This window comes from Homo sapiens, chromosome 5, assembly GCF_000001405.40.
Source record: "Homo sapiens chromosome 5, GRCh38.p14 Primary Assembly".
Classification (NCBI taxonomy): domain Eukaryota; kingdom Metazoa; phylum Chordata; class Mammalia; order Primates; family Hominidae; genus Homo; species Homo sapiens.
This window is the reverse complement of record NC_000005.10, coordinates 79,975,847-79,991,276: the sequence shown is the minus strand read 5'-3', so window position 1 is coordinate 79,991,276 and position 15,430 is coordinate 79,975,847. Positions and strand designations below refer to the sequence as shown.

Here is a 15,430-nt window from a genome sequence, read left to right as displayed (position 1 = left end):
AAAGTACTTCCGGGATAGTAAAGGTCGGCCCGCGCAAGATGGCGGCCCCCTTGGAACTCAGTTGCTGGGGAGGCGGCTGGGGACTCCCATCGGTTCACAGCGAGTCCCTGGTGGTGATGGTGAGGCCGCCTCGCGGGCCAGGGCGCAGGAGGAAGGGGCGGGGCTGGAGGCGCCAGGCTGACTTGCCCCAGTTTCCCGCTGCGCTGCGGGGTCCAGGAGGGCCGAGCCGCTGCACGCTGCATTGCCCTGGGCTCCCTCCCACCGACGAGTCCCAACCTGGCCGATACCCCCGCCGAAGGCCGGCGGCGACATCAAGGCTTCTCCGCTTGGCTCCGAGTTTTGTCCGCCTCACAAAGCTGTCTGGGCGGTGGAGTGAAACCCCGAAGCAAGGGGCGCGCCCTCCCTACTCTGCATCCCCAGGACCTTTTGGGGAGCAAAGTCCTCGAAAGCCGGGTGGCTGGCGCCCGCGTCCCTACTTGAGATCACGGGGAGGGATGCGGCCTCAGTATCAGTCGCCTTCTGCCTTTGGGGGATGGGGCTGTGAAGTAAAGCTGCTCTGCAGCTTTGCATTACGCACTTGGTCTAAAATGTTTGATTGCAAACTCTGTTTCAGGCTTATGCCAAATTTTCTGGTGCACCCTTGAAAGTCAATGTGATAGATAACACCTGGAGAGGTTCAAGAGGTATAGTGTAAACCTTTACACTCCCCTTTCTGCACTCTTTTTTTTCTTCTTCCATTTAAAGCTGTGAGGTATATAGCTATAATATTGAGGATTTAGTTTCTTACCGTGACCTTGGCTCTGTGTTGTTTATGGTTTGATCATTCTGAGTAATACCTCAAAGTGCAAGCGAAATCACTGGAAATTATGAGAAACGAAAATGTTCTTTAGAACCGCTCTTTGTGAAACAGCAAAAAAACCAAGACAAGCTTACTCATTTTTTCCCCTCTAAATGTGCAACTGCTATAGTTTTTAGGATATTGGAATCTCTCAGAGGAAATCACACTGTGTCCTTGTATGTAAACTGTTTTTTGATTATAGGCGATGTACCAATTTTGACAACTGAAGACGACATGGTTTCTCAGCCAGCAAAAATACTAAACTTTTTAAGAAAACAGGTGGGTGGTTCACTTTGAAGAAGTAGATTGGTAGATTGTTGATCCCTGCATGTTGGGCTTTATTTTATTTATTTATTTTTTTTTGCCAACTCATTAGACAATTGGAGATACCTGGGACAAGATGTAAAAATAGATTTGAGAATCACTGCTCTAAAGCATGAGTTCTGTGATTTGAAAGTCATATGAAGAGGTAGTCAGTTTATATTTTAATAAACTTTGCTTGAATTTTATTGAAATTTGTATGTAAGTAGATTTAATTAGCCATTTTCACTATTAAACTTATTGATAGGATTGTGTATTTTGTCACATAGTTGGTACACATTTTGTGCTGGGCATGACACCTGAGCTCTCACCAACTAGCAACTATATTATTTTTAAAAAGCTCTTAATAGCAGTTTTATGGAATAATGTATCTAAATGTTTTAACAGTAGAGAATTATGTATCCAAAATGTTTAAACATGTAAAGATTTATATGAATGGATAAGTTATTTGTTTTGCCAATACTGTACTTAAAAAAATTGTGTCAATAACATTTTGAACTTTTATAAATTGGAAGGTTTTTTCTTTTGTCTTGGGGAGAAACACAGCCAATTGGAACTGTTTCCTTCTTGTTAAAAATAATAGTTGCTTTGTTTGTACTACATGCCATGCACTGAACTAGGTCATTAACAAGCATGAAAATAATAGTAGTTAATATTGTAACATTTATTGACCATATTGTGTATGTGATGCTGTGCTAAGAACTTTATGTGCATTAAGCAATAGGTTTCACTGGATTTGTATTTCTCTTTCTCCCATTTTAATACCACGTTTGCTATTTGTAAGGAAAAATATGAATCCTGATTTGATTAGTTTTACTGTCTTTGGGCTGCTCTTTGACTTCTGAGTTTCTTTGGTTTATTTTTTTTTAATAGAAATATAATGCTGATTATGAACTCTCAGCAAAACAAGGGGCAGATACATTGGCTTATATTGCTCTCCTCGAAGAGAAGCTTCTCCCTGCAGTGGTGAGTGTTCTTAAATATTACAGTATTTTAGTAGCCTAGTTGCAAATGTACATAGTCTGTTTAGAAAAAAACCAATGAGAAAAGTCTTAAGAGAAAATTTTACTTATATGTTAATCTTAATTCCTTCATATTACTGTGAAACTGGATTCTGTTAGGCATTCAACTAGTATGTGAAACAACAAAGTAAAATAAAATGTCATGTTGGAAATTCTTTGTGGGAGATGGATCTTTTTGCTCCATGTATAGAATTGGGTGTAATTCATTCATTCAACAAATGTTTATTGAACACCTGCTATGTGTCAGGCCTTGTTCTGGGTGTTTGGAAGATAGCAGTCAACAAAACTCACACATTTAAAATAATCTTGTTTTATCCTGAGTCATTCTAACTGGAAAATTTGTATGAAGACACTTCATATAAAGATATTTATGAAAAACTCTCATGTTGATTGAGTGATCTTTCATTTAATAAAAGAACATCCTTGTAGTGTTTTTTCTCTTCTTTTGCAGCTTCACACATTCTGGGTTGAGAGTGACAATTACTTTACTGTGACAAAGCCATGGTTTGCTTCACAAATTCCTTTTCCTTTGAGTTTGATCCTGCCTGGAAGAATGTCTAAGGGAGCACTGAATAGGATTCTCCTGACCAGAGGACAGCCTCCCCTCTACCACCTCCGAGAAGTGGAAGCACAGGTATAGTATGGATTATTCTTCAAGCAAGGGCCCTAGAGAGAAAGGACAAGATAAAATGCAGACTTGAGTTTACCTAGAGATGCCTTCCTCAAAAGTAGTTTTAGAGTATCTTTTCTACTTTTGAGATATAATTTCATCCTTATTAGATATACAGAGATGCCAAGGAGTGCCTAAATCTTCTATCAAACAGATTGGGAACATCTCAGTTTTTCTTTGGAGATACGTGAGTATTCCCTTAAAAATCATTTTGGTATTTTGTGCACATATATTCAGTGAGCAGCTATTTAAAGCAAGTCCTCTTATCTCCCCAAAAGATGAGTTTTTTACTTAAAAAAAACAAGATTTAGGCCGGTGTGGTGGCTCATACCTGTAATCACAGCACTTTGGGAGGCCGAGTTGGGCAGATCACCCGAGGCCAGAAGTTCAAGACCAACCTGCCCAACATGGCGAAACCCCATCTCTACTAAAAATACAAAAAATTAGCTGCGTGTGGTGGTGGGCACCTGTAATCCCAGCTACTTGGGAGGCTGAGGCAGGAGAATCGCTTGAACCTGGGAGGTGGAGGTTGCAGTGAGCTGAGATCACGCCACTGCACTCCAGCCTGGGTGACAAGAGTGAAACTCCATGTCAAAAAACCAAAACAAACAAGAAAAAAATTTAATGGGCTTTTATTATAGGAAACTTTTTCTACCAGTGATAATCTAACATTGACTTAATAGGCTGCATATGTGAATTTAAAACATCTCAGACTGTTCCCACTCTGCCTCCAGTCTAACATTTGTGAGTAAAAATGAATCTATAAAGACAATTTCATTTTCTCCTAGAGTCTAAGCTACTCAATGAGTAAAACCTTGGTTGCATAATTTTTGTAAACTGAAATGGATAGTAAACCTTTTAAGAGACTATACTGTGTAATTCAGAATTGAGAATTTTGAAAAAAAAATTAAACACCATCCCAAGTTAGTATTTTCTTATGTGCTTAAAAAAATCCTTAATTTAATTTTTTTTTTTTTTTTTTTTTGAGATGGAGTCTTGCTCTTGTTGCCCAGGCTAGAGTGCAGTGGCATGATCTTGGCTCATTGCAACCTCCGCCTCCTGGGTTCAAGCAATTCTCCTGCCTCAACCTCCCAAGTAGCTGGGTTTACAGGTGCCCACCACCACGCCCGACTTCTTTTGTATTTTTAGTAGAGACAGGGTTTCACCATGTTGGCCAGGCTTATCTGGAACTCCTGACCTCAAGTGATCTGCCCCCGCTTGATCTCCCAAAGTACTGGGATTACAGGCATGAGCCACCACACCCGGCCTTCAGTTAATATTGTCTTATGTGCTTTAAAAATCCTTAATTTATTTCTAGGCCTTCTACCTTGGATGCCTATGTTTTTGGTTTTCTTGCACCTCTTTACAAAGTACGGTTTCCTAAAGTTCAGCTACAAGAACATCTGAAACAGCTCTCCAACCTCTGTCGCTTTTGTGATGACATCCTGAGCAGTTATTTTAGGCTTAGTCTTGGAGGTAAGCTGGCTCTTTTTCAGCTAATGTTTGTTTGCATATTCTCCTATGTATGTATAAGCAAAATCCACTACTTATTTTAATTTTAGAAGTTTGTGTATTGTCTTTAAATAGTGGTTTATAGCACTTCAAGGATTTGTGTTTTTCCGACTTCATTTTTATTCTCATGTTAGTTCTTATTTAAATAGATAAATAGATATTTGCCTTTTATCTATTCCGCTGGATTTTTACGTTTCTTCTTCTTGTTCTTTAAATATTACCCCTTTGAAGTGGGTCATTTTCTTCTAAAAGGTTAAAACCACAGGTATTAAGTCTTTGCTGAAAAACAGTATTTATCCTAATGCAAATGGACAATTACTTTAAATGATTTTTACCTGCTGCTTCTAGCATTTTCCTGCATGAACAGAAATCAGCAGCAGATTGATTTTGGTGAGGTACACTGCCATGATTCCACTACTTGAAAACTGATTGCATCAGAATGGAAGTATAGTAAATAGAGGGCACCTGTTACTTAGGATGTGCTTCATTGAGAGAGTGGAGCCTTGTGCTTAAGTGATTCAGATACTAAATTTCTATTGGGATGGTTGGCTGAAATTGTCCTTTTAAGAAACAGGTTATAAAGATAGCTGGCTTAGGTGGACAGTTTATTATTTTTTGGTGGGTTATGTATTCTGTATACAGGAAGGGGTTAGTAGTTTGGGAGTCATGAAATTAAGTAATGTTCAACCGTGTTAACTTGGGAGCAGTGGTTAGCAAACCTGATTATTTGACAGATAAAAAATCTTGGGTCCTATTCCAGACTTACTAAATTAGAATCTTTTAGGCATCAATCCTAGGAATTTGTATTTTTAAGTTCTTCTGAATACTTTGGATGTCTGGTGGGCAACTTTTTGGGAGTTACTGCCTTAGAAAACTATCCAGATAGTTGTGACCAAAGACCTATTTGAAATGGGTGTGAGAAAGGAATAGCTTAAACTTGAGAAGGAAATGAGGACTACTGTGCTTTTTTTTTCAAAAAAAAAAAAAAACTAATTATTGTGGCCAATTGCAGAACACTTGGTTAGCAGTGTCTACTTAGTGGATAAATTTTTGTCCGTTTTGCTCAGGGTTTAGTTTTAGAGCATTCGAATCCCTCTCTTCGCCTTTAAACCCAGAATGGTTTTCCTCTTTGCCTTTTTTGGGGAGGGTGGGGCACTGGACAGGGTGGGTAGACTCAAAATTCTTTCAATCTAAATAGCTTTAAAGGCTTTAAAAATTTCCTGTCTTTCTCTGATTTCTGTCCTGGCTTCTTAGGCATCTCTCCAGCTGGACAAGAAACGGTAGATGCAAATCTGCAGAAACTCACACAACTTGTAAATAAGGAATCCAACTTGATTGAAAAGGTCAAGTCTACTTCAATCATTTTATCATAGTTCAGTATTTTCCTTTCGGTAGCTAATATTGTCATTTGGGTCACACATTAACTGTACCCTTTTAGTTTTTTTTATAGAGTTTGTTTTTCAGAAAACTGTTTAAATATACTTTCACTAAAGTTGTATGTAACATAGTGTTTTGAAGCCAACAGTGGCCTGATTGGGGAAAGATCAGATAAGAGTATTGGGTTTACTTTTGCCACACAGTTAGTACCCTTTAAGCTAGGAAATCCAAAAGATTTGCTTTAAAAAAACAAAGCGGCCGGGCGCGGTGGGTCACTCCTGTAATCCCAGCTCTTTGGGAGGCCGAGGCGGGCAGATCATGAGGTCATGAGATCGAGACCATCCTGGCTTATACGGCGAAACCCCGTCTCTACTAAAAATACAAAAAATTAGCCGGGCATGGTGGCGGGCGCCTGTAGTCCCAGCTACTCAGGAGGCTGAGGCAGGAGAATGGCATGAACCCGGGAGGCGGAGCTTGCAGTGAGCTGAGATCGTGCCACTGCACTCCAGCCTGGGCAACGGAGCGAGACTCCATCAGAAAAAACACAAAAAAAAACAAAGCAAAAACACTTCTTGCTTGTGTGTCTGCCTCTCTGTCTCTTAATGTTTCTTAAGATTGTAAGCACTGGGCTTATCCTTTCTTATTAACAGCACCGTGTTCTTTTCTTCTTTCCACATGAAAGTTTTATTTTTTTCTCCTTCTTGTTCTTCTCTGCTCTAGATATAGTTTATAGTTTTTTCACCAGTGTAGATATTTTGCCACTTGGGGTGTTCTTTTCATGAGAGAAACATTGAGGAACTGGGTAGGGGAGAGAACCAACAAAGGAAATTTCAAGTGTGATTCTACTAGGAAAAATACAAAGAGGTTACATATTTTTTCCCCTGTAACTGATAAGCTTGCTTTTTTTTTTTTTCCTGATACAAATAGTAATACTTACTATTTTACAAACTCATAGGGCAATGAGGCCTGATGACACTGGCTAACAGTTTTTGAGGTCCACCACTGTGTTATTTGAGCTTGATGTGGGTTACCTCATTTAGAAGTGATCCAGTGTTTGGAAAACCACTGGATTACATTTAAAGAATTTATCTTTCTTTTTGCCTAATGTACTAGCTTCCTTTGGTCTACATATTCTCAGTTTTAAAAAGCTGGTCTTTTTTGATTGGAATACAGGTCATTTTCATTGAGGTAAAGAAGTATAGTTGAAAGAATAATAGTTTTGGAATCAGAAGACCTGGGTTCAAGTTTCAGCTCTCATACTAGCTTGTGACGTGGGGCAAATCACTTAACCTTACAGAGTCTCGTTTTGCTCATCTGTACAACAGAGAAGGTCTGTGTCTGCCTTTTCTTCATAGCGTATCGGGAAGATCAAATAAGATACTGTACGTGAACATAGTTTGCAAACTGGAGCTTAGTGTAACAGTACCGCTTTTACACTTACTATCAGAAGACCTCTTTAAGTTATGGTTGAGTTCAGTAGAATATTTATTTTGTGGAATTAACTATAATTCTGTGAAGGTATCAGGAATGAGCCACGTTGCTTTTTACAGAAACTGAGTCAGCTGGTATTTGAGGTATGACATTTAGAATTCTTGAGATTATTTGTAAGAAAAAGGTTTCTCTAGCAGCCCAGGAAACATATGGTTCTGTACTCTTCTAGGCTATAGTTTGGATGGGGAGGCCACAGTCCACATAAGCGGTGCCACAGCATTAGTCAGATGTATCTTTTGTACTTTCTACAGATGGATGACAATCTTCGCCAAAGCCCTCAGCTTCCTCCTCGGAAACTGCCAACACTTAAATTGACTCCAGCAGAAGAAGAAAATAATTCCTTCCAACGGCTTTCGCCCTGAGAGTAGTCATGGTTTGTGGCCAAAGTCAAACGATTGTTGCAGTAATCTCTTACACCAAGTGTGTGAAGGCAAAAAGAAGATACCATAATAGGTATTAAGGAAGACTCTAAACCAAAAGGAACTTTCTATGCCATCTATTTTTACTATTATTATTAGGAAGCTTGTATTCTAGCTTGGCACTGCATTTTTAATAACAAAGAGAATGCTAAATGAACTTGGTTGGGGGGGCGGGGAAGAAAAACACATCGTACTGTATACAAAGAACTGCCTTAATCATGGCAGATTTTTGCCTTTGGTTCACATGTTGCTGACCAAAGGCTACAATTCTGTTCTGAATGTGCACTCCTAATTTATTTGATTTAATTTATTCAATTTATTAACTTAGTTTTCTTAGACCAGGCTGAATACCTAATATGTGGCTTTTTGGCTGAGGCTTTTTACTTCTGTTTAGAAATTTGATGCCTATTTTAGGAACCAGAAAAAGATAAATTGCTTCAGTAGAAGAGACCATATTTAACTTTAAAAAGTGAGGAGGAATGTGCTTTTTAATTATGCTCTCATAAGTCTAATCTTTTGGGGGTTTAGTAGCACATAGATAAATATTAAAGGTGGTTACATATAATAACATCTGATAATACTCATTTCAGTATAACATTGGTCTTTGCTGATGTGTTCGATATAGGTTAGGAAGAGTTCTTTTAGTTTACTTGGGCAAATGTGGCAGTTTTAGACCTATGTCTTTGTAGTACATCTTCAGTTGTCTTTCTTGTATTAATTCCAGAAGAAGTGAATGTACTGGTTATCGTTACTATGCTAGGCTGTAAAATTCTTACTGAAATTGCCCACTTGTTAGACACTACTCAGGAGGAGCCCATGGCCAGGGTAGTAGAAATACTGTGCATCTGGTCCAAGTTTTCTATGCTTGGCTCATATTCTTTCATAAGATGCATATTCTTTCATAAGATGCATATCATGTAGTCAAAAGCTTTCTGACAACCAATTATTTTTCATATGTTTCACTTATAGTCGAAGAATACAAAGGAACAATCAGAAATAGCAGCTTTTAATGAATATTTTCTATTTATTGGTTGCTGAACTGTTAAGGGATTTGCTGTGTGGTAATTTTACTTATAATAGAAACTTGCTTATTTTAGTGGTTGAGGTGCTTCTGTTGTCCTAAAACTACTTCTGAGGTTTTTAAAATGTAGAACCATGTTTTTGATTAGTGTCTTAAAAGATTACTGTGGTGCTCAGCAAATCTTATCAAGTCGTGCAGGAACCCATATGTTAAGAAAATGAGCTTTGTAGTCAAAAGACTCATCTAATTTGAGCTGAGTGGAGCTCAGCTGTGTTTGACCCACATCCTCCCAATTTGTTCTGTATTTAGGTAGTTATTTATACAAGAGTCTTTAAGTCATTCTAAATATTTTTTCTTGAAAGTTTTAACTAAGTGAGAAATAAGGTAGTCTTCAAAATCTTGGTCATCTGTTTGGATGAGGGAAAGTACCTCATGAGTTGCACATTACTTCTACAACAGGGTGTGTGTGTGTGTGTTTGTGTGTGTCAGTCATCTTCAAAGGCAGATTATTAGATTCCAGCAATCTGAAATCTATTATTCCAGCAGTCTGAAACCTAAATATGTTATATTGGAAATCATGACTGTGAGACTTTATTGTCCTCTAGGATGGATGTATATTGGAGAAGGGTGGTTAGCACATTCATCAGACATCTGCTTATGCTGTGGTCAAGGCCAGTCATTTTTAATTTATATCAGATTTATATCAGACCCTCCAAAAAGTATTTGAAATATATTACAGTTATAACGTACAAGTACATTACATGTATATTACAAGTATATTACATGTAAAACAGGACAATTTAAAAATTTTAAATTTTAAAGAATTAAAAATTTTAAAAATTTAAATTAAAAAAATTAAAAATTTATAGAACCATATCAACACTGACAGATTCTAAAATTAAGTAGTAAATTTAACTCCAAGTTTCTCCATGGGCAAAGTCAAAAGATAATGCTAGGTTATGTCAATTTTTCTTTTCAACAAAACTGCTAATGTCTATTAGGAAGAAAAATGTGTTTAAAGTTTTACAGGAACGTGGAGCTCATGTTCTTCTGATATGTAGACTTTGATAAAGAAGCATACTGTAATGTTTTATGAACTGAAATTTTAATCAAAAGAGGTCATTTTAGAATAACAAGTATTATTCTTTTTTAGTAGAGGGAATGACTGTCAATATGATTTATTTGTTTTTGTGTCATCCCTACTTTGAACTGCTGTTAGCCTTACATTCTCACTATAGTCCATAATGCTTCCAGATCACCTTTTCTAAGATGCAACATGTGAGTTTAGTGAGAGTTTATATGTTGGGTTACTTAGTTGAGCTATTTATGTATAAGTAAATGAGATGACAGGAAGCTGTAACTGAGCACAAAGTACTTTAGGGAGCAGCCACACATACAGGAAGCTCTTAGAAAAGAACTTTTTTTTTTTTTTGAGACAGAGTTTCACTCTTGTTGCCCAGGCTGGAGTGCAGTAGCGCAGTCTCGGCTCACTGCAACCTCTACCTCCTGGGTTCAAGCAAGTCTCCTGTCTCAGCCTCCCAAGTAGCTGGGATTACAGGCATGTGCCACCATGCCCAGCTAATTTTGTTTTTTTTTTAGTCGAGACGGGGTTTCACCATGTTGCTCAGGCTGGTCTTGAACTCCTGACCTCAAGTGATTCACCTGCCTCGGCCTCCCAAAGTGCTGGGATTACAGGCGTGAGCCACTGCGCCCGGCCAAAAAGAACATTTTGTCAATCTGAACAGAGCACAGAACATTTTTTCAGACTGAACAGACTGTTGGACCAGCCTGTCATGATATGTTTTAGATAAAGTTTGAGTGAGTTCATTGGGATAAATGGTCCACAATCTTAAACAGAATACTGTGAGCCAATGCCTTTTGGAAGTAATGGTGGAGGATAATATGATTAAAGGGAACATGCTTGTGTTTATTTTTGTTGGTAGTATATGATTAGAAAAACTAGATAATTCCCATAAGATGAAGATCTTCCATGAACAAACTACCATCAATCATCCATCAGATTGATTTTTTTTTTTTTTTTAAGTAACACTAAAGAAGCTGTAAAGAACATTGAAGGTGGTCATTCCTTCAAAACTGTGTTTTGACCACACAAGGTGGGCATTAACAAACCAAATTTCAACTTAAGTTTGTTTGTATTATATTGGGGGTGCTGCGAGACTGGAGATTTTATAAAAGCAAGCATTTTTATTTCCATTTATAATTTCTATTCAATATTGCTAGATATATTAACATGAAGGAATGGGGAAGCTTATTTCAATCAAAGCTAAAATTTTCAGAAGTCTGTAAAAATGGAAAAACACCATTGAAAGAGGCAGAAACAGGTAAGGGGGATAGTATCTTAGAAAACCTGTTGGTTAAGGCAGCTGCATGTGATAAAAGTGGTACTTGAACTTGGTAGTGTTTCCTTAGAACCTCCTCCAAAAATATGCATTTACCAGGCTTGTTACAATTTTTTGACAGTTTTTCATCAACTGTCAAAAACTTCAACCCTTTTAAAACCTAGATATAAATGCTTACATGTAAAGAAAGGAAGCTAAGCAGTGGGTACCTGGGATCTCTCTGAACTATTTTTATAACTTCTTGTGAGTCTTAAGTATTTCAAAATAAAAGTGGTTTTAAAGTAAATTCATAGATTAAATGTATCATTATCTATATATAAACCATGATTTAAAACTTTAATTTTCTAAACATAGTATTCAACTTAGTTGAATAAATATATGATAGAAGTTAAATAGAATTTTTATTTCATTCTTAAGAAAAACTCATGTTTGTAACAAATGATATCTAAAGATCTATTTTGCCTTACCAGAAAAGAAAAAAAAAACCCTAAAACCAAAAACTCCTTTTCCCTAGGAAGTCAAAAATGCTGTGATTTAAAATATCTAATTATATTTTTTTCTTTCTATGGTAGTGGGGTTTACTTCTGAGGATAAAATATTTTGAAAAAGCTCTGTCCCTTGACATGGTAGTTCTCCCGTGCCTTGTACTTGTTCTCTCTCCATATGCACAGTGTGACAAGATGCTCACCTTTAATGAAGAAGGTGTAGCTTTTCGTTTTAAGCTGTAATTGTCTTTGTCTTGATTTGGCTATTTTTATAACTGAAATCCTGAGCAACAGAGATAATTTGGGTGGTAATGATCATCTTTTGTATATGTTCTTGATGTTAAGAAATATTTTTTGCTGCCATTCAGCTTTGTGGAATTTATGTTTACTTTTCAATATTTTCATATTTCTTAACCAGATTTTAAAGAAATTTGTTGTTAGTTACGTGAAATCAAAGGTCAGGTCAGTAAGCCCATTATCCTCAAACTTGAAGTTTCGTTGGATGTTCAAAATGCTAATTTTTGCAGAGATATAAGGATAAATTAGTTTTAGTTTGTGTTCTTAAGGGTTTGCAAAATAATTTGGCTCCCAAACTCTTGTTGGGGTGTAGTGTTTGCTAGGAGCCCAGGATACCTGCCCTGGACTTAAATTGTGATTGAAGTGGAGAGGTACTCTAGGAATTTAAAAAGACACAAAATTATTTTTTTCCAGACTAGTGTGCCATGGATTTCTGATAAGAATTAACATTCTTGAACAAAGGTATCAGAAAGGGTAACTCGAGTTGAAGGTTTGTGAATAGAAGGGGAAATGTGATAGAAGATTATTCAGAACAAAATAAGTAGACAAAATAACAAAAGACAGGAAAATAAGTCTCTTTGTATCCTTATTAATCATTTGAAATTATGCTATAATATTTTTTAAAACTCACCTGTTTGGTTCTGGGTGAAGCAGTTCCTGAAGGAGTGTTTTGTCAGAATATATTGTTAGGAGAATAGAGGGTTCTGTGGCCAAGTAAGTTTGGGAAATAGTGGGTTAGACAAAGTTGAGTTACTGTTGGCCTTTCAGACCTTTGATACGCTAATGTGCATTTTAAATCTCCAAGAAGCACCTCTATTTTATACATCATTTCCCTAATTTATTTTAATATGGATTTCTTGTTTTTGTTTTCTTGAGACGGAGTCTTGGTCTTGTCACCCAGGCTGGAGTGCAGTGGCACGATCTCGGCTCACTACAACCTCCGCCTCCCAGGTTCAAGCGATTCTCCTGCCTCAGCCTCCCAATTTACTGGGATTACAGGCACCTGCCACCACGCCCAGCTAATTTTTGTATTTTTAGTAGAGATGGGGTTTCACCATGTTGACCAGGCTGATTTTGAACTCCTGACCTCAGGTGATTCTGCCCGCCTCACCCTCCCACAGTGCTGGAATTATAGGTATGAGCCACTGTCCCCGGCCAGATTTTTTTAAAAGTAGGTATCTTGTGGGATTTATGTTCTGAGAGATACACCTAAGGAAATGCTGCCCTACAGTGTTTTTGCTAGTTCATACTCATTACAAAGGTTTCTTGTTGTTGGGTGCCCCTCTAGCCAGTGGTAGTAAAATGGGAAGAGACAGGTCAAGACTCCCTTGGACCATGGCATTGAGAGAGGGATGGCTGTCGGCATAGATATGTTGGTTATTTAGGCATTTGTGAGGGAGGCCCCTGGCTCTTCCAGCCTGTTTCCTTAGGATCCCAGTTGGCCGGGAACAGCTGTACAAGGGTCTGCTGAACTGGTGGTTTCAGCAGACTACCCAGTTCCTAAGCATCCATGAGACAGAGGGAACCAACTTGTATTTCCAGAACAATTTTCCAAACCTTTTCTGGCTGTACTTTAAAAGTGCCAAAAAGGCAATGGGTGTTTATGACACTAAAGTCACATACAAGCTAGTATGATACATACATCATAGAAAGCTTATAGTTGCTCAGTGACAAAGCAAAGGAAGTTTAATATTTTCCAGTTTTGTTCATTACCGAAGACAGTCTACGGTTCATAGTTTTCACTAAATTCTAAGCAGATTCTATATCCTAAAACATTTAAACCTCACTAGGCCTGCAATTTTGAGAGGGTTAGCTAAATATGTTTGGTATCACTTCAGAGTCTAAAACCAGATTACTAATCGTGTGTAAGGAGGCATTTTGTGTGTCTTTGCAATGTATACAATTGGATTATTTGGAACACCATTTTGAATGTGTATTTGAGAGAAAGCTCGCCTGTGGGTTTTGAGTTGTGGTGTAATGGTGAACATGTAGCCACGTGAAAGGCCGTTGGATCTTTGTTCTGATTCTTCAGTCGTCTTCTTGCAAATTCAGAGAAATGTCTTTTAATCATTTCGTTTACATATCCCAGATCCTTGGAAATCATGAAAAATAACTTGCCAGAGTTTGCATCAGCCCTCAGTAAGTCATGAACCATAGAGAAGGTCATGGGGCCATTTATTCTTTGGACCACTGGCTACTTCTGAAGTTCTGGCTTCCTTCTCTCTAGGAGGAGTCGTGTATTCAAGCTTTTAAGTTAAATGCATAAAAATGAGTTTTACTTCTCTTCTGACTTGATTTTTAATTTTATGAAATGGGAAATAATGTTTTTCCATTTTTCTGTTCATTTTGAAGTGGGAATTTGAGGTGTTTGTAATGTCATGTTACTGTTCTGAAAGATTGACAGTAAAGAAGACAAGAAATATATGTATGTAGTATGCATATTAGTTTTGTCCCACCAAGCCTATCTTTGAATGGCAAACATTTTAAAAACATCTGTTCTAGTTGCACAACTACTCTAGCTTCTTTATAAAGTAAACAATCTTAAAGTAAGCAATGTTGGCCATAATTTCAATATTCTAGCCTTGCCGAGTGTGAATATATTTTACTCAGAGACTATGTACAAATACACTAAAGTGGTGATGGTGATCAATATTGTAAAGAATTTATTCTGATAAATGAGAAACTGGATATAATGTCAAAATAGCTATTTTCTCAATAAAAATCTCAAATCTCCTGACTGCTTATGAATTCTCGATTTAATGTTATTTATTCTTTGAGGTAAATCTTTTCATCGCGAAGAATTTTTTGCTGGTTGAATGTGGTTGTTCAGGGCTGGGACTGAGCTATAGACATAGTGGGTTTTTAAAAAATGTCCATTCTTTTTTTTTTTTTTTGAGACAGAGTTTTGCTCTTATCACCCAGGCTGGAGTGCAATGGTGTGAACTCGGCTCACTGCAACCTTCGCCACCTGGGTTCAAGCAATTCTCCTGCCTTAGCCTCCCAAGTAGCTGGGATTACAGGCACCTGCCACCTTACCCGGCTAAATTTTTTTTTTTTTTTTTTGGTATTTTTTTTTTTTTTTTTAAGTAGAGACGGGGTTTCACCATGTTGGCCAGGCTGGTCTTGAACTCCTGACCTCAGGTGATCCACCCGTCTCGGTCTCCCAGAGTGCTGGGATTACAGGCGTGAGCCACCGTGCCTGGCCAGAAAATGTCCATTCTTTCTGTTATGTGTTGAGACCACTTGTGCTCTGGCCACTCCAGGCTAAGGGAGGTTAGAGGCCTGTTCTCTAGGCCACTGGTTTGTGTAGGACCTCAGATGCTCACACAACTTTGCAGGGTTATAGTTCTCTCATCCCTTCAGCTCTGTAAGTTTCTTGTAAATTATACCTTTTGCTCACCCAGATAGTATAGTGATAGTCCATTGTAATTGAATGGAAGATTTAACTGAGAAAAATAATGTAATTTTAGTTGGAGGGAAGATATTCAGGTTTTTTTACTGCTTCGTTTATGGGACAAAGTATATGGTTCTAGAGAACCCTGTCATTTATAGCTGTAGGTTAAATAAGGGCAAGTTCCCTGAGAGAATGGGTGTCTTTGCTAGTAGATTTTTTTAAA

The 15,430-nt window shown here is 37.8% G+C and overlaps 1 protein-coding gene across 4 annotated transcripts, besides 1 other annotated feature; it reads left to right on the top strand.

The window, feature by feature from the left end:
- Positions 15-14,561, top strand: MTX3 (metaxin 3). 4 transcript variants are annotated; one of them, NM_001363818.2, is made up of 9 exons: positions 15-119; positions 614-683; positions 1,041-1,117; positions 2,033-2,125; positions 2,633-2,815; positions 2,962-3,038; positions 4,170-4,327; positions 5,618-5,706; positions 7,483-14,561. In NM_001363818.2, the coding sequence occupies exons 1-9, from the start codon at positions 39-41 to the stop codon at positions 7,591-7,593; spliced, it is 939 nt and encodes a 312-aa protein (NP_001350747.1). In that variant the 5' UTR covers positions 15-38; the 3' UTR covers positions 7,594-14,561. The 4 variants fall into 4 exon arrangements, with proteins under 4 accessions (NP_001350747.1, NP_001161213.1, NP_001010891.4 ...); NM_001167741.2 differs by lacking the exon at positions 614-683; NM_001010891.5 differs by lacking the exon at positions 5,618-5,706.
- Positions 348-517: an enhancer, noted in NCBI's record as "active region_22727". NCBI's record gives its function as "activates an Ori minimal core promoter by ATAC-STARR-seq in GM12878 lymphoblastoid cells {active_cell/tissue: GM12878}" and the evidence as "EXISTENCE:reporter gene assay evidence [ECO:0000049][PMID:35858748]".
- Positions 14,562-15,430: the final 869 nt, after the last annotated feature.

Bases quoted from the DNA above. Each gene is read 5' to 3' on its own strand.
- MTX3 (NM_001363818.2), top strand. From the start codon at position 39: ATGGCGGCCCCCTTGGAACTCAGTTGCTGGGGAGGCGGCTGGGGACTC. The intron at 120-613 runs GTGAGGCCGCCT...ACTCTGTTTCAG, and splicing joins GCGAGTCCCTGGTGGTGATG to GCTTATGCCAAATTTTCTGG. The intron at 5,707-7,482 runs GTCAAGTCTACT...TACTTTCTACAG, and splicing joins AATCCAACTTGATTGAAAAG to ATGGATGACAATCTTCGCCA.